This window comes from Homo sapiens, chromosome 3, assembly GCF_000001405.40.
Source record: "Homo sapiens chromosome 3, GRCh38.p14 Primary Assembly".
NCBI classification, from domain to species: domain Eukaryota; kingdom Metazoa; phylum Chordata; class Mammalia; order Primates; family Hominidae; genus Homo; species Homo sapiens.
The window spans coordinates 13,376,828-13,393,982 of NC_000003.12; the positions used below are offsets into that span (position 1 = coordinate 13,376,828).

General features: G+C 51.9%; 1 protein-coding gene across 5 annotated transcripts in view, besides 2 other annotated features; it reads right to left on the reverse strand.

The window, feature by feature from the left end:
• NUP210 (nucleoporin 210) overlaps positions 1-17,155 on the reverse strand; it is a 104,088-nt gene that overhangs the window by 60,593 nt on the left and 26,340 nt on the right. For all 5 annotated transcript variants that reach the window (XR_007095651.1, NM_024923.4, XM_011533538.3 and 2 more), the window contains exons 4-9: positions 14,384-14,480; positions 11,476-11,626; positions 9,448-9,580; positions 2,736-2,894; positions 2,085-2,153; positions 629-735 (exon numbers count right to left, since the gene is read on the reverse strand). Coding sequence is in view for 4 of the 5 variants with exons in the window: in NM_024923.4 (NP_079199.2) it covers positions 629-735; positions 2,085-2,153; positions 2,736-2,894; positions 9,448-9,580; positions 11,476-11,626; positions 14,384-14,480 (716 nt within the window). In the remaining variant the exon portion in view is untranslated. The remainder of the gene's footprint in view (positions 1-628; positions 736-2,084; positions 2,154-2,735; positions 2,895-9,447; positions 9,581-11,475; positions 11,627-14,383; positions 14,481-17,155) is intronic.
• Positions 11,707-12,207: an enhancer, noted in NCBI's record as "H3K27ac hESC enhancer chr3:13430034-13430534 (GRCh37/hg19 assembly coordinates)". NCBI's record gives its function as "activates a minimal SCP1, AML or CMV promoter by ChIP-STARR-seq in primed H9 embryonic stem cells {active_cell/tissue: H9 hESC(primed)}" and the evidence as "EXISTENCE:reporter gene assay evidence [ECO:0000049][PMID:30033119]".
• Positions 14,011-14,569: an enhancer, noted in NCBI's record as "H3K27ac-H3K4me1 hESC enhancer chr3:13432338-13432896 (GRCh37/hg19 assembly coordinates)". NCBI's record gives its function as "activates a minimal SCP1, AML or CMV promoter by ChIP-STARR-seq in primed H9 embryonic stem cells {active_cell/tissue: H9 hESC(primed)}" and the evidence as "EXISTENCE:reporter gene assay evidence [ECO:0000049][PMID:30033119]".

The window sequence follows — 17,155 nt, forward strand, 5'->3', positions numbered from 1 at the left end:
GACATCTTCAAGGACACCGAGAGGAACCTCGCCTTTTTCTTCTAAAACCTCCAACGCCACCTGAAGGGCCTGGGGGTGCTCACTGACGAGCCTGGAATTTCTCACAGGGGACAGAGAGGCAGCCAAGACTCCTGCACATTTCCTCATCTGTCTGACACCCCCTTCCAGAACCAGAAAGTGTGCTGAGCTCGGCCTCTGTCATGCAGGGTTCCAGGTATTTCTGGAACCCAGTACGGAGAAAGCCAGGACGTGCTCCGTGACTCTCTGCAGGGCAGGAGGAGAATGGATTCTCTGAGGTCCCCAGCTTGGGGAAAAGGGGGCGGGAGAGTGGCGGGCAGAGACCTCCTCCCTATCCTCCTATCCTGGAGCCCTGCCGCTGTGGCAACCTCTGCCCTCCAGCCCAACAGGGGCTCTGCAGCTAGGCCGGTGTGCAGGCTCACAGGCTCTGGAGATGCCCCGGGATGCCTCAGCACTGTTTCCCACAGACCCGGGAGCGCCACTAGAAACAGGACCCCTCCTCGGTCAGCCTGCATGGGGGCTCCTGTTGCTTTGGGGGCTGCTCTTCAGCAGCCGCGTCAGACAACGACCCCACCTCATCCCCCCAGCCAGGACCTGAACAGGCACTCACGTCAGATACATAGACCTTGTTGCTGAACTTGTCAAAAACTTCGATGGTGATTTCATACAGGCGGCCGGTCTCCAGCACCCACCTGTCACCAGGGTGAACAGTGAACCCTAAAACAGGCAGAGGGAGCCTGAGCACTCAGGCCTCAGGGGCAGCAGGGTGGAGGAGGATGGGACCACCACCCTCAGCACAGGGGCCCTCAGCATCCACACGAGAAGCCCCACTCCACCCACCTGCAGGCCCCACACCACCCACCTGCAGGCCCCACACCACTTACCTGGAGGCCCCACTCCACCCACCTGCAGGCCCCACACCACTTACCTGGAGGCCCCACTCCACCCACCTGCAGGCCCCACACCACTTACCTGGAGGCCCCACACCACCCACCTGCAGGCCCCACACCACCCACCTGCAGGCCCCACACCACTTACCTGGAGGCCCCACACCACCCACCTGCAGGCCCCACACCACCCACCTGCAGGCCCTACACCACCCACCTGGAGGCCCCACAACTATGGCCCTGGCCTCCTCCTTCTGCTGAGGAGCAGAAGTCTAATGCCACCTTCAGCCCTAAGTCCTGAGCTGACCTCGCCAGGACCAACCCTGGACTCATCCCACTCTGTCTGATCAAGGCTCTTTCAAACTCATTCCCGTCCTCAGTGGGTCTACACTCAGAATCCAGCAACTCTGTCCTCAACACACAGCAGGCCTACGCTCTGAACCCTCGGCAGGTCTACGCTCTGAATCCACAACAGTTCTCTGCTTTGAACTCTCAGTCCTGAGCTGACCTCGCCAGGACCAACCCTGGACTCATCTCAGCAGGTCTACACTCTGAAGCCTGTCACTGAGCACTCTTGCCATATGAGTCATCCCTGCCCTCCCAGGTTCTCAGTCCCCTGCAACACAGGATACCACAGCACTCTTGCTGTCCCCTGGGATGCCCAGTGTACTTTTTCACTTCCACACCATTGCCTAAGCAATTCCCTCTGCCAGGACACCTTCCCGCAAAAGAAGCTCTGTCTGAGAAAATGCCTGCCTTCAATATCATCATCATGTTCCTCCCCTCCCTGCTAAGGTACCTGCCTACTGTCATGTCACCTTAGGGTCCCTCTATAATTGAGCTGACACTGGGCCCCAACCTCTAAATGTCCATAGCAATGGTCAGGTCTGGGCAAAGCCGTGGTATGAAAACCAGGAGGGTGCAAGCCCCTCACCACTCTACCCGGTTCTGTTTCTCTCCTTGCTGAGCCTGCCGCCTGCCTGGCTTGGCTCATTCTACCTATTTCTACACCAAACAGGGAAGGGCTGGTGAGTGCCCTGGGCAATGATGGTCATAGCAAGTGGCAGAGCTGGCCAGAGGGAAGCATTTTCTGTGGAGCTATTGCTTCTTTTCTATTTTTTAAACTCATATAGTCACAACTGAGCAGCATCCATGAGGGCCCAGGAGGCCCACACTCACCTAGGTATCCAGGTTCGACCACGTAGATAGTGCTGTTGGGTAACCTAGAAGCACCTTGCATGCGAATACCTGAATTTTGAATTAAGGGGCAAGACATATGACAGCAAATAAACCAGCTGGCTGGCCAGTTTCAGCTTGGCTCAGAATCCTGATCATCAAGACATCACATGGAGAGAAGAAGAGGGGATGAAAACTCCCCTGGCTTAGGCCACGTAGAGCAAAGGCACTTTTCAGAATCAAAGGCCACACTGCGCTTGCCACACTAGCAAAGGGGAATCTCTGTGAGGGACACTGGAGACCGCACAGGACACAACAACAAGTCTGGGGCATCAACACTCCATTATGCTAGTATGGAAACAGCCCCCGCCAGGCCCCCTCTGAGAAGGCTGCAGGTACTGGAGAAGTTTCTGGAGACGAGGAACGACACTCAGCTCCTGCCATCACCTCCCACCGCTGGGAGCCTCTGGGGTGAGTCACCCACAGCCGTGAGCAATTCCACTCAGCAGTGCTATTTCAGTTCTTTCTGATTTTCAGACCGTTGAGGGGAAACGGCTATTTTTAGCCCTGCCGAGCTTTCAGGGAAAAAAAGACTTGACTTCCAAACAGCAGCTCCGCCATGCCTAAGAACACACAAGCCCAAGAAAAGGATATTCCTGTGGCCAAGGACGAGGCTGCTCTGTCCCAGCTGCAGTGCAGTGACCATCGACGTGTCCTGGGCCAAGACAGCCACCGGCCGGGCTGGGTCTCCTTCGGGGCCCGGGATGCTGTTCTGAAGCTGCAACTCGTACTGATCGGAAGGCATGGAGAGTTCTGGCCACCAAGAAACAAAAAATAACAGGGAAAGAGAGAGCAAAGACAGGAAATGTTAGAAGCCAATACACTCCCACTGCCACCCCGAATCTCTGCACTCTGCTCTCAGTACAGCTGACGCATTTTCTTAATTGTTTTCAGTGCTTTAAATGTTAATATTGTTCTGCATGCTGGTGGACAAAACTGACACTCCATGAATTTTCAGAGGCAATCAGTTTTTCTGTGTAAGCTGTTTAAAAAAAAAATTAACCACAATCTATTTGCCAACTGCTTGGAGAATATTAACATTATGCCATTTCTGAACATTGCAAAGTGAACTCTTTGCTTCTACGTAGAGGGGGCACTGGGGTTCTTGCTGGTTCCGTCCAGCCTCTAGGGGTTTCCCAAGAAGCTCTGGTCACTGGTCTCCCATGGGGTCTATAATTGCCAACAATGAACCCTGCTGCCATCCTCACCAGCTTCAGTGTTCCCCTGCCCTTCACACCCACTTGGCAGAAAAATAACTTGCCCAACGTGGGCTAGGATGGAGAAGAGTTTCCCCGAGAAGTAAGAGTTCTATAAAGTGAGCAACATCGATGTACATCTTCCTTGCTCTGTGGGCAGAGACCACAAGCACTTTTGACAGCAATGGTGACTGCTGAGCAGGGATCAAGATGCCTCAGAGCAATGAGGTGTCTCATGATCACGTTCCCTCATATCCCTCAATAGCCCTGGGAACACGCTACTGAGAGCCACATTTTGGGGATAGGGGACTGAGGATATCAAGATGAGCAGCCTGCTCACCATTGCGCAGCTAGTGGAAAACAGAGCTGGCGTTCTGATCCAGAGAGCCTGACCACTTTCACATTCACTCTCCTAAGCCCGCGGAGCTTCCTAACCAGTCACCCATTCACTGTCCCCACAAGTGGGACATTCTAGCCCTCCAGCAAGAGAAGAGAGAAGAGGACACAGGAAACAGCAGACAACATCTCTGCTTGGCCCTCCTCTCAGGCCAGCTCAGGGCTTCAACACCCCATAGAGGGTGCCAGGTCAGGACTCCCAGAGGAATTCCAGCTAAAGCATGTTTCAGAATCTCCAGGGATTCTGATGAGAATTCTAAAAGAGAGGAAACTTGCCTGGCCCTTGTCCTGGGTTATTTTTCATGTGATCTAATAAGTATCAAATAATTTTCACTAGAACATTGGGTCCCCAAAGTGTGGTCCCTGAACCATCAACATCACCTGGAACTGCAAATGATGGGCCCCATCCCAGACCTGCTGAATCAAACTCCAGGGCTGGGCTCCAGCAAGCTTTGTTTTCACAAGCCCTGTAGGTGATTCTGATGTAGGCTAGAATTGAGAATCCCAAAGGGAATGCACAGCCCACATCCTCATCTCTAATCAAGTGATTCTTGCAGATTATGTGTCTAGTGTTCAGAATATGGAGCAGTGCATCAAAGATAAATGTCAGAATAAAATAACATAGTTGCTCAATGAAGCAACATTACTTTATACTGATTAATGAAGCACTAGCTTCCTCCCTTGTTTACTTTAAAGTTTTCTAAATGAGTAAGGCCCTTTTGGGAAATGAACATGCTTACATTGAAGGGGACTTACATAGCACAGATGTAACCCTCCTTGCAAATTCTAAGACTGAAAATAAGGAGGATTTTGTGACAGACTCCTTAGATACCTCTTTTTCTTTCTTTTCTTTTCTTTTCTTTTTTTTTTTTTTTAGAGATAGGTTCTTACTATGCTGCCCTGGCTGGAGTGCAGTGGCTTTCTTAGGTGCAATCACAGCTCACTGCAGCCTGGAACTCCTGGGCTCAGCCTCCTAAGTAGTTGAGACTACCAATGCACGCCACCATACCTGGCCTTAGATACCCCCTGTATCCTGGAACTCACTCCTTGTAAGAGACACTGAATGTGGAAGTCTTCGCAGATATTAAGGGCACTGCCCAGTTCCTGTCTTTGAATTATTGGGCCAACAACAGAAAGGCGCTCCTGAGGCCCCAGATCATCCCTGCTATCATCTGCAGGGGGTGAACAGCTGCCCTTCTATAGGTCAGGAAGCCCACATTCTTCTAAAAGACATGATCTCTGTCCCCTGCTGACCCTGGCTGATCCCCCCAGATTTGTTTCTGTCAGCGCCCCCACTCCCGGACCTTGCACTCCACATGAGCTCCAGGGATGACCATGGAGCTCCTGCGGAGCTGGGTCTGAGTCAAGGATGATGGAGAGCTCACTCCCTGCCTCTGACCTCAGCCCCTGCTCAAGCAGCCCCAGATACATTAGTTCTGAGCAGCCACAGTTAAGTGCCTGCCAGATTCAAAGTTCCTTCTACAACTGAGTCTCTGACACATGAACCTCAGCCCAACACATGTGCATGCTATTGGTTTTGCAAACCTAGTACATTTTATTTCAGTAATTCCAGCATTCTATCCACTCAAGTTCTCTTCAGATACTGATTCGATCAGCCAGCATGCCCTTCCCACATTTTTATTACATCTAACAACTTGATCACAGTGGCAGTCATGTCTGCAACCAATCCAAACACCAACAGGACTTAGCACTAAGGACTGGAGATGGAGACCACGGCTCCCACTGGAAGCCCATCCTATAAGCAATACAGATGCCCTGCTATAAGCCTCAGGAGCCTGTCTCCTCCACTCACAGGCCTCACTTGCAGACATGATGTGACTGACTGTGCTCCACCTCTGCTAGGCTGTGAGCTCCAGGAGGGCAGGAACCGGGCAGTCCTGCTGACCACTGTGCACCCAGCACTTAGCAAAGGGCTGGCACAGAGCAGATGCTCAGGAAATGTATTTGCAAGAAAGGGAGGAGCCAAAAAAAAGAAGAGAGGCAGACATAAAGGAAATAAAAATACCAAAGAAGAAAAAATTACTGTAAGGAAGGAAACCCAACAGAAAAGAAAATATAAAGAGTTAATCTGCAGTTATAATTATCGCATGTTAATGAGCCCATGTAACTGTCATCCAACGCAGAATGCTCTGAGGCTTCCACAGGATGCCGGGCAAGACAGGGATTTGCTGAAATTCAGGTCCCCTATGAAGACACCATTCCCTGACTTTTCTGTCTAGCAAACCTGCAAAAACCAATATAGTCATGTGAATTATACCTCAATGAAAAAACAATCCAGCTAGGCTGAGCATGGCAACTCATGCCTATTATTCCAGCACTTTGGGAAGCTGAGGTAGGAGGGATAACTTGAGCCCAGGAGTCTGAGACCAGCCTGGACAACACAGAGAGACCGCATCTCTATTAAAAAAAAAAAATTAGCCAGGCATGTGGTGTGTGCCTGTGGTCCCAGCTACTCAGGGGTGTGAGGTGAGAGGATCACTTGAGCCTGGGAGGTCAAAGCTGCTGTGAGCCATGATCATGATACTGCACTCCCAACATGGGTGACAAAGCAAGACTCTCTCTCAAAAAAACCCCAAAATAATTCATCTAAAAGACTTAGGAGTTTCCATTGGTGTGTCTTGTTCACAGTGAAGTTTTGCTAGCTCGGCCCCTCTCAGTTTTGCCAAAACATCCATCTGGAATCTACTGCAGTAGCATCCAGTGCCATCAATCGCACAGGAGTGTGTATTTTTGGAGTACTTTCACATCTCATGACATGATGAAAGGGAGGTGGGCCCTGCCTCTTTCCTTTCCTGTCCCAGGGCATCTTTCATGTGCTCCAATTCCTTGATGTCTGTGGCAGGAAGGTCAGTGACCAAGCTCGTAAGTTTTCTAGGTACCTTGGGAGGTGCAGTTCCTCTGGGCTGTGATACCTGAGCTAATTTAGAGTGAGCTCTTTTTTTTTTTTTTTTTTTTTTTTGAGACAGAGTCTCACTCTGTCGCCCAGGCTGGAGTGCAGTGGTGCGATCTCAGCTACTGCAACATCCTCTGCCTCCCGGGTTCAAGCAATTCTCCTGCCTCAGCCTCCTGAGTAGCTGGGACTACAGGTGTGTGCCACCATGCCCAGCTAATTTTTTTCTGTATTTTTAGTAGAGACAGGGTTTCACCATGTTAGCCAGGATGGTCTCGATTTCCTGACCTCATGATCCGCCCGCCTCGGCCTCCCAAAATGCTGGGATTACAGGTGTGAGCCACCGTGCCTGGCCGAGTGAGCTCTTTCTAAAGTCAGCCCATCCCCTCTTAACTACATGGGCTCTGCTTGCCCAGCTGGGGCAGTTTCATGCCCCATGAGTCCCATGCAAATGGACCACCTCACCGCTGCCCTGGGAGACTGTAAGGCCCTGTTTTTGTTTGTTTGTTTTGAGACAGTCTCGCTCTGTCACCCAGGCTGGAGTGCAATGGCGCAATCTCGGCTCACTGCAACCTCCACCTCCTGGGTTCAAGTGATTCTCCTGTCTCAGCCTCTTGAGTAGCTGGGATTACAGGCGTGCGCCACCACACCTGGCCAATTTTTGTATTTTTAGTAGAGGCGGGGTTTCACCATGTTGGTCAGGCTGGTCTCGAACCCCTGACCTCGTGATCCGCCCGCCTCAGCCTCCCAAAGTGCTGGGATTATGGGCGTGAGCCACCACGCCCGGCCGGCCCTGTTGTTATAATTAGCTTTTTTCTGGGTTTCCTTTGGGGAGAAGCGGCAGAGGGAAATTCCAATTGATCCTACAGGGGTGATTAAGGCCAAGGAGTCCAACAGTTTTGTGAGCTTCAGGTCTTCTATGCCTCAGTTTTCCTCATGTATGAAACAGGGTATTAATGAAATCTACCTCATAGAGCTGTTGGGTTATATCCAGGTACACAACTGTAGTCCCAGCTACTCAGAAGAAATGAGGCAGGAGGATGGCTTGAGGCCAGCAGTTTGAGATCAGACTGGTCAACATAGCAAGACCAAGTCTCTAAAAAATAAAATAAAGTAACTTTAAAAAGAAAAGCACTTACAACTGCCCAACACTGAGGAAATGTTCAGTCATGGTTAGGTGCTGTCAGCAGTGACTAGGCTCTCCAAGCGTCTTCCTTCAGGCCGCAGTGCCATTTCTTGATCAGTGTTCATGGATAATTTTATATTTCTGAGACCTCCTGTTTGTGCCCTCTGGCCTTTCAACACGCTTCCCCTTTGCATTCTTCCTTAGGCTGCTGTCCTCAGAACTCTATCTTGGAGCCTCCTCCCCTTTCAGAGTCTCAGAAAGCCACATCTTGGACTGTCCCTGTCCTAGAATCTGCCTCCCTGAAGTCAGGTAAACATCGGGCTCTGACCAGGACACCCACGCTTGGCTTCCTACAAATCCTACTGCAGGCCATCCTCCTGTTGACTTGACATCCTGCTGAAGGGCAGATGCTGCTTGCCCAGAATCAAGAAACATGAGTTTGCTTCTCTTCAACTAGGACCCCCTTGCCAGAAAGAACTGGGCCCAAAGGCAGGAGCGCCTGTCTTCAGTTTTTTTGTCCTCCTGAGAGAAAGCGTTCTGCCACACAGGAATGACCAACCAGGTGACTGCTCTCAGTTGAGCAGGACTTTAAACAATGCAGCACCTCCCATCAACTGGAGACACCACTCAAGTTGCTCTTATGCTGAAGTGTGTATCTGCCTGCCTCTTAAGTGACACCCTGTATCACAGGTGGAACCAACCTACCAACCTGGCAAACTCACCTGACTGAGGCCCTCGGATGGACTGGACCTGAGAGCTCTTATGCCCATGACCCTTCAGGTCCTATGCTCTGGATGTTAAACATACACAGCTTTGAACAAAATGATAATGATCCTTAGGAGGACTGGCGCTCCATTGAGAACCGTCACTATCTAAACACAAGTACACAGTACAACTACACTCCTATTGATTCATTTTGTCCTCACAGCCCAGGCAGAAAGGCCTCAAAGCCTCCAATGAGAAACAGCCCTGGAGAAGGGCAGTGGCTTGTCCAAGTTTGTTCAGTTGTCAGTTGCAGACCGGGGCAAAGCCCAGCTAAACACAAAGCCCACAGCTCTGGACTTGCTGCCACTGAAAGGGCATATACCCCAAAGAATTTGAAAGCAGGGACTCAGATATTTGCTCACTATGTTCACAGCAGCATTACTCACAATGGCCAAAAAGTGGAAGCAACCCAAGTGTCTGCTGATGGATGAATGGGTAGATGAATGGGTAAACAGAATGTGGTCTATCCATCCACACAATGGAGCACTATTCAGCCTTAAAAGGGAAGGGAATTCCAACCCTTGCTACAACATGGATGAAACTTGAAGACATCAGGCTAGGAAAAAAGTGATATAAGCCAGTTACAAAAAAATAAATACTATATGATTCCACGTACATGAGGTAACCAGAGTAGTCACATTCACAGAGACAGGAAATAGAGTGATGAGTGCCAAGGGCTGGGAGAGGGTGAAGGGGAGTTAGTGTTTAACAATGCAGAGCTTCAGTTTGGGAAGATGAACGAGTTCTGTGGATGGATGATGGTGATGGCTGCAGAAGAGTGTGAATGTACTTGATGCTACCTGATGGAGCACTTAAAAATGGTTAAGATGGTAAATTTTGTTACATGTATGTAACCACAATAAAAAAAGGAGGAAGGAAGCATCTGTCATGATGGCAGAGCCAATGACACACCTGTAATTTTCCCTTGCCTGATCTTCTGCACCTTGTAGTGAATGGAGGTTCCCACCATCAGGTAGACGTCATAGGCCGGGTTCAGAAGGATGTTTTCCAAAATCAGCAGCCTGACTTCTGCAGGGCGTACATTCTTGGCATAAAGAAAAGGCAGACAAAGTGAGGTGCGGACAGGGAATGGGGAAGTGGTGGTGTGAGCAAGAGAAAGAGATGTTTTAAACATGGGAATAGGGAAGTTAAGAGGAAAGAAACAAGATATCATTCCCAAATCCTCACTTTCAGAACCCAGAGGTCCCAGGGGAGCTCCATAAGTATAGCAGGCACCCAGAAAAAGGGCATTACCCAGACTGAGCCCTCACACTGACTGCCCATTGTGCATGGTTTATCTCTATGTGAAACCATGATTAAACTGGAGTAAAAGAGGAGAGCCAGGGTGAACTCTAGGGATGCTATGGCCACCGGGAGCTCAAGTTCTCTCCACACAAAAGCCCAAGGTCCAGGGAACTTGAGAAGCCCCAGGCCAACATAAAAAGCAGGAGAGGCATATGCTGTGATGAGCCTTGGCTGCTATTCCTTGACCCCTTCCCCTGCCCGCCTTTCACCCCCGACCTGTGACCTCCTGCCTCCTCAGGAAAACCCGTGGGCAACTTCGCAATGGGAGAAAGATCACTAGGTGCCCTGTCTAGTGCACCCTTAGGTACTGGATTCTCCAGAGGCCTGCACCTTTCATTGTCTTTGGCCTGTTTGATGGCAGTGTACATTGTAGAAAAGCGACAACACAGCAAATGATTCTTGTCCACAGAAACACAAAAACATTTCCTCAGGTGAAGGCGCAGCTGACTGCCCTCCTGTGGGTGTGGGCATTCTACATTTTTCTGAGTTCAGTTCAGCATGCCTGGTGTCCTGTGGCAACTCTTTGGATTCTCCTTTAAGCCTGCTGTCACAACTGACAGCTTTCCTCACTTAACAACTAGTTAATATCTTCAGTGTGTCCAAAACAGACAAGTGTATTGGGCACCACCATGGGCAGGGCTCTGTGGCGGCTGCTTTCCAGCACGCAGGCAGGGAGGGCCACTGAATGTCTATGGGCAGGACAGCAAGTCTGCCTTTCCAGCTTAGCAGTGTGGCTGTACCCCATCCCAGCCTGGGCCCTACACAGGAGCAAACTGTCTCTAAGTACTACCTGCAGAGTCCTACGGGATTAGCCCCTATAACAGGGCATGTCCCCATGTTTCCATAACTTTCCAGGACTCCCAGATGCAGCAAACCCACTACAGAGAGTGAATCAGAAGAGGATTTCTCCGTCTGCCACTTTACAAAATTAAATGGCAGGCCAAGTACCACAGTGTTCCTGCCTGTGCTCCAGACACTAGGCAAACAAAAATATCTCAGGGTTGCAGCTCAAAACGAGGCACTGGTTGGGTGGACATTAGTCCACAGGGACAGAGAAGGAACCAGGACGTTGGATAGACCCACTCCTCACTCTCCTTTCCTCTGGCATACCCCCACTACCCTAAGAATGGGATGCTGGTGAGGCCAGGAAGACATGGGATCGGCTGGGGCAGGGGGTTGAGGTGATCTACACATAGGATCCCTGGGCCACCAGTCTCAGGGCTCCAATGGGGGCCCAAGGAGAGACAGCATAGAAGACACCCAGGAGCCCCAGGTTTTGTCAAAGCCCCAAGTGCTTGGGAGTGTCCCTATACCAGCACGGTGGGGGCACCAGTTGGAAACAGGTGAGTTACTGGAAACCTCCTGCTCTTGGACCTCCCTAGAAACTAAGAATGAGCAAATGCTATGCACCCCTAGAGATGCTTTCTGGGGCCTCAACCACCTTTCTTTGTAAGCTGAGGCTCAAACAAACCAAACCAAACACATAAAAATATGAACCCACATCCTGAAATCACGGGACAGCATCTCACTTCCACTATTCAACGTGCCTATAGGTGTGATGGTACCTATAAGCAGGTACCGTCAGCCTGATTCCACCCCAGGAAGCCCACTGACACCCCAGCGCCCCAGGCCCACCTTGTAGACAGCCTCCTGGATGCGAGCCTTGAGCTTGGAGCTCCCGGTCTTCATCCCAGACACCAGGATGGTGTCCCCTTGCTTGGCAGCCTTCTCCATCTCTGAGATGTAAGAAGGAGGGATGTACGTAGACTCCAAGAAAGTGAGGATTCTGGAAAAGGAGCACGTTGTCAAAGTTTGTTGATCAAACCCCAACACAAGATTTGTCAGAATCTACCACAGCATTCCCTATCAGTACCTCCCACTGGGGCTGATGCTGAAATAAGGGGTGTCCCCCTAGTCAGGGCTGGGGCTGCCTAGAGACACGGCCCTGCAGCTTCCTACATCAGAACTGCCAAAGTCCTTGTGAAAAATGCAGATACTTGGCCCCTGGCCCAGGCTTTGTCTCCAAGATGCCTGGGAATCTGCATTTTATCCACACGCACACGTGACGTAAATACTAACATGCGAGACCAGCTGCTGAGTCCACATGGGAACAGTGAGGCCCGGGAGATGAGGCAGCAGGCCCAAGAGCACAGCCCAGTCACAGCAGGGCCAGCAGCACCCTCACCTCCCCGAGGCTGCCTGCTCCTGTCCAACCTCCCCGGCCTAGCGCCCAGCTCTGGGGAACGATTCTCCATGACTGGTCCCCTAGCCCTGGGCACCAGACGGCACCATGTCTCACTCTCCCTGGATCCCAGCTTGGGGAGATGTCGGGGACGTGGTGTAGCCTGGAGTGTGGGCTGCTGGGCAGGCGGACTTCAGGGATCCTTCCCACGCAGCCTCCCACTTCAGCCTGCATTTACAAACGAGCCCACTGTTCCCCTGCACAAGAGCAATCTGCCAATGCTGGGCCGCACTGTGATTTATTTCCTCGCCTGGTTACTCTAGGTGTCACACGCCAAATTACAAATCCAGGACAATCCAGCTCCAACCCGCCTTGGCATCTGGGATTTCTGTTAGCATTTGGCTCAGGTGCAGAGCTAGCTGCCTGGAAGCTCAAGGGGTGGGGAATGGGGTATTGTCAGAAGGGGACAGGGATTCAGCATCCCCTCAACATCCAGCGTGTGCCAGGCCCAGAGAGGGGCCCTGAGTGGATCAACCCACTGAGCTGTACAGTGGCCCTCAGAGGCAGGCACGGGATTCCCTCCAGCTCTGTTTCCCAGGGCAGGAGGCTGAGGCTCAGGTGGGTAACGTTCCCTGGCTAAGGACACAGGCAGGAAGCGACAAAGCCAGGACTGGAATCCAGGTCTCTGACTCTCTGGCCCATGGTCATTGTTTTACAAAACACCAGAACCCACAGAGCTGGTCCAGCAGGCTGTCTCCACAAGGGCAACTCGGCTCACAAAGGCGTCAGGACATGAGGACGTCGGCCTGGAGTTGCTGTAAGCTGAGCCCTGGAGAAGGCTGTGACAGAGGAACCACCACATCCCCAACATCCCCTACAGCCCAGAGCAGGACTTTAATGGCATAATGAAAGACCAGACAGTAAACTCCCTGACAAAGGACTTATAATTATATAGGGGTGAGAAAGCGCAGAGGCAAGTGGAAGAGCGGAGTCTCACTTCTGTGATGTTCCTGCCAAAGACACAACGTTCGGACCCTGGCCGTGAGGGAACAGCAGACAAACCCAAAACAAGGGCCACTCTACAGATAACTAGACTGTCCTCTTCACAAGCGTTGTGGTGTCCAAAGTCAAAGCCCGGGAGACAGTCCCAGGCTGACAGAGACTAAGAGAAACAGGACACATGCGGCAGGTGACTTGGGGCTGGGATCCTTCTTTTTACTGAAAAGGATAAAGCTGGGACAAATGACCAAACTCGAGTAAGGTCTGAAGACGGCCGGCAACAGTGTTCGTTTCCTAGTGCCATGACTGCATGGTGGCCGTGCAGGACAATGCCCCGATGGTCGTAAAGCACATGAAAATCATCAGGGTGACGGGACATGAGGCTGGCAGCCGGCTCTCAGGTGAATGAGGGAGACCACTTTTTGGACTAAACTGGCAGATTTTCTACAGGCCTAAAATTGCTGCAAAAGGAGACTCAAAAGATTCAAAAACAACTTTAAAAAAGGGACCATGCTTTTTAAAAATCACATGGCAAATCAGGAGGAAGGCGGCACAGTCGGGAATACAAGCTCAGACCTGGGACCTGCACCAGCACCGGCAGAGGACCCGCGTGGCTCTGCTCCTGCCCTGTCCCACATGTGGCAGTGCAGTGAGCCATTGACAGGAGGCTTATGCATCTTAGGAACTGAACTGCTCATTTTCTAACTACAAGTAAATAGCTCTGGGGCCCGTGGCTCCCACGAGACAGTGCAGATCCACGGATCTGAGTTCAGACTCCAGCTCTGTCCTCCCGGAGCTCAGACAAGCGGCTCGGCCTCTCCAAGTCTCAGCCTCCACAACTACTCGATGGAGAGCACAGTGGTGCGCAAGCTCATGTGGCTGCCAGGAGGATGACACAGGTCAAGATGCTTAAGGTGTCCGCCTCACAACTGGTCTTACTATACCGCCATATGGGCGACTCAGCCTGTTCCACCTGAGACCCACCGGCACAGCTGGCCTGTGCCCCAGCCGAAACCTGGCTGCCCTTTAACTGGCCCCCCAGAAGTGCAGCCTGGGGCCACCCACACTTTCCCTGTGCCCTGAGACAGCCATGCATGTCTCATTTCTCCAGCTGGACATCCCAAGCCTCTGACAGCTTCTCACAGGACACTCTCTGGGGGCTGCAGAAGCAGCCAGGCTCCCGCACAATGGTGTGAGTGGATCCCATTCCTCAATCAGACACTCGGAATGTTACGGGCATCCTAGGAGTCTCCCAGACTCCTCAATGACCCAGATGAAAGCCCCCCGCTGGTGAGGAGCTCACAGGTGTCCCCCTTTCCCCTTCCCTTCAAAGGGGCCAGGCCTAGCAGAGGCACCCCTTACCGCAGCGCATTGTGGGAGTCTGAGAACCTGTCCGCCTCGGAGTCCTTCACAATCGTCCACTCGAAGACCAGTCCAGCCAGAGTGCTGAAGGTGTTCCCTATAAGAGCAGATGGGAGAGGCAGACAGATATGGAGTTAATTTCCCAGGGTGGAGGGAGGCGTGATGGGAGCTTCTGCCCCATGCAGGAACCACACTCCACATCACCACCCACCAGGCAGGTGTCATAAACTGTATGTCAGGAGAGGAAACTGAGGCTGAAAGGAATGAAGACACTTACTCATGGTCATGTGACCACCAGGGGGCGAGGCCAGAATTTGAACCTAGGGCTGTCCGATGAAAGCTTGTGCTCTTCCTGCTGTGACTCCCTGCCCTTGACTGCAGGACCAGCTCAGTGCAGTGCATAACACTGCTGCCCCGCACGTCTGTGAGCGGTTTACAATTTAGGAGTCTGCTCGGAAACCTGGGCCATTCATTCCTGCTCACCACTTCCTGGGAGTAAACTCCTCTCCCTCCCTGTGCAGGGGAGGGGACCCAGGGTGGAGGGGCATTACCCAAACTGTCTAGTGTCACATGACTCTTGTCTCTTCACCTTGACTGTGAGACTCCTGAGGTCGTGGGGTAGGTAGGGGGCAAGGAGAGCCAGGCCCAGCCAGCCTTGGCTCTTATGTCCTGGCTTGCTGCCTGGGAGCCTTCTGATCTGTCCTTTCCAATCAAGAAACAGATGCCACATGCAAGTCTAGTTCTCACCTCCTCTTGAAAGGATGAAGATCCACCCACCTGGGCCTCATTCCCTCTGAGAGCCAGAAGCTGCTCGCCCTCTCTAGAAGGGGCCATGCCACACTCCTCACCAGCCCCTGATGTTCCACGCCTGTTCCACATCCCTCATCCACACTCCCCTTCTGACCAGCTCCCAGTACAAGGGATCTGGGGGCCAAGAAAAGCTGTTTTCTACAGTGCAAAGGGCAAGGTATTTAGAGTCTGACGGGCCTGGGGTCCTGCTTCTCTTCACCCCGATCCCTGGCCCTGCAAGGTCTCAAAGACTGCATGAAATAGTGCCTAGCAGAAGCTCCAGAAAACTCTGCTCCTTCGCCTTACTTCTCAGGGCATCTTTAATGAAGAGAGGCATCTTCTTACAGTTCCCTGGGTGTCTTTCCGTCAATGTGAGCAACTGATCAGAGGAAGACAACCCCCATCTATGATGTACATATATGCGGGAAGATTTTTTCTTAGAGGTCCAGAGCAGGATTTTGAGCAAATGAAAACTCTATGGTTTCCTGAAAATTAATCTGTCTTCCTAACATCCAGGGCATTAGGTGAGGATGGTGGATATGAAAATCCACACCAGCGAAGCACATCGGCTGCAAGACAGGAGTCCTCTAGTCCAACCCTTGGATGCTGCGTCCCCATCAGATGGGGGCTTGAGACCCTTCCCGCATACCCCAGGGATGAGGAGCTCATCGCCCAGCACAGCCTATTCCTCTGTTCAACAGCTCTGACTGTGAGAACCTTCTTCTGCACACTGAGCTGAAACAGGGTGCATATGGAGTACTGCTGGCCCCAGTTCCACTGTCCGGGGGCAGAGCCAGCAGGTTGGCTTAGCAGTGTGCTCAGTGAGGGGAGCCTGGGCTCCAATTCCACCTTCTCGGGGAAGAGCCCAGCAGGCCGGCTTTGCAGTATGCTCGGTGAGGGGAGCCTGGGCCCAAATTCCTGCCTTCCAGAGTCAGAGCCCAGCAGGCCAGCTTTACAGTGTGCTCAGTGAGGGGAGCATGGAGTCCCTATAATAGTGTGACCCAGTAACCAGAAACGCAAGACTGCAGACCACTAGGCAGGCCACTCCCTTAACACAAATACATGCCAACACCACAAGAGTCCTGAATAGCTACCCTGGGGCTTCCACCCAGCTCAGCTCCAAGCATGGCTTTTCTCTTCTGTAAAATGGGGATGAAAATACCAACGCATGGGGTTGGTGGGAAGATCAAATTGAGAAAGCACCCCCATGACATGTCCAGTGTTCACAACGGTCCGCTTATGGACAAGGGGATGGAGGTGGGGGAGGCCCTGCTAAGGGGCTCTTAGCAAGGAAAACGGTGGGAGAGAATCATGCCTGCAGACACTTCAGGGGCTGCACGTGGAGCTCTGTTTTTCATCATCTTTGCTCCCCACAGTCTCTCCTGGAAGTCCACCACGTTCAAATGTGGAAGAAGAGTTGAATGTGTGGTAATTTCAAGGGCAGAAAGTGTCCTTAGGCTTCTGTAAGTTACCTGCTCGGGCAGGTGCACACACAGGACCGAGTGCAGGATTTGCAGGGCTCCGTGCAGATGAGAACACAGGGACCCTCGTTCATGCATGGGCCTGCCAGCTGCTGGCCACTGGCTTTCTCTCCCGCCAGCTGCTGGCAACATGGCCAGACCCAGCTGCGTGGGCCCTGGGGATGTCAAGGCAGGTGTCTGCCTTTCCAGGGCCTGCTGCAGGTGGGCATCCCTAAGGGTGGCAAGGGGGAAGGGAAAGCTCTCAATAAATCTGTGCCCAAAGTTTTGCTTTTTCCACTCTAAAAGAAGCTATCAGTACCTACTATGTGCAACGGAGCCCTTGACCTTGAAGCCTCACAGCCAAGTTTAGATATTAACCAGGAAAGCCAGGGATCCAGTCTCCAGAGGATCTACCTCCCCTGTCCTGCAGGACAGCTGAAGGAAAATGTTAGGCAATTCAACCTAGCAAACATTTACCCAATGCCGGCTGGCCCCAAAGTCCAGTGTCAGGCACAGAAAAGTC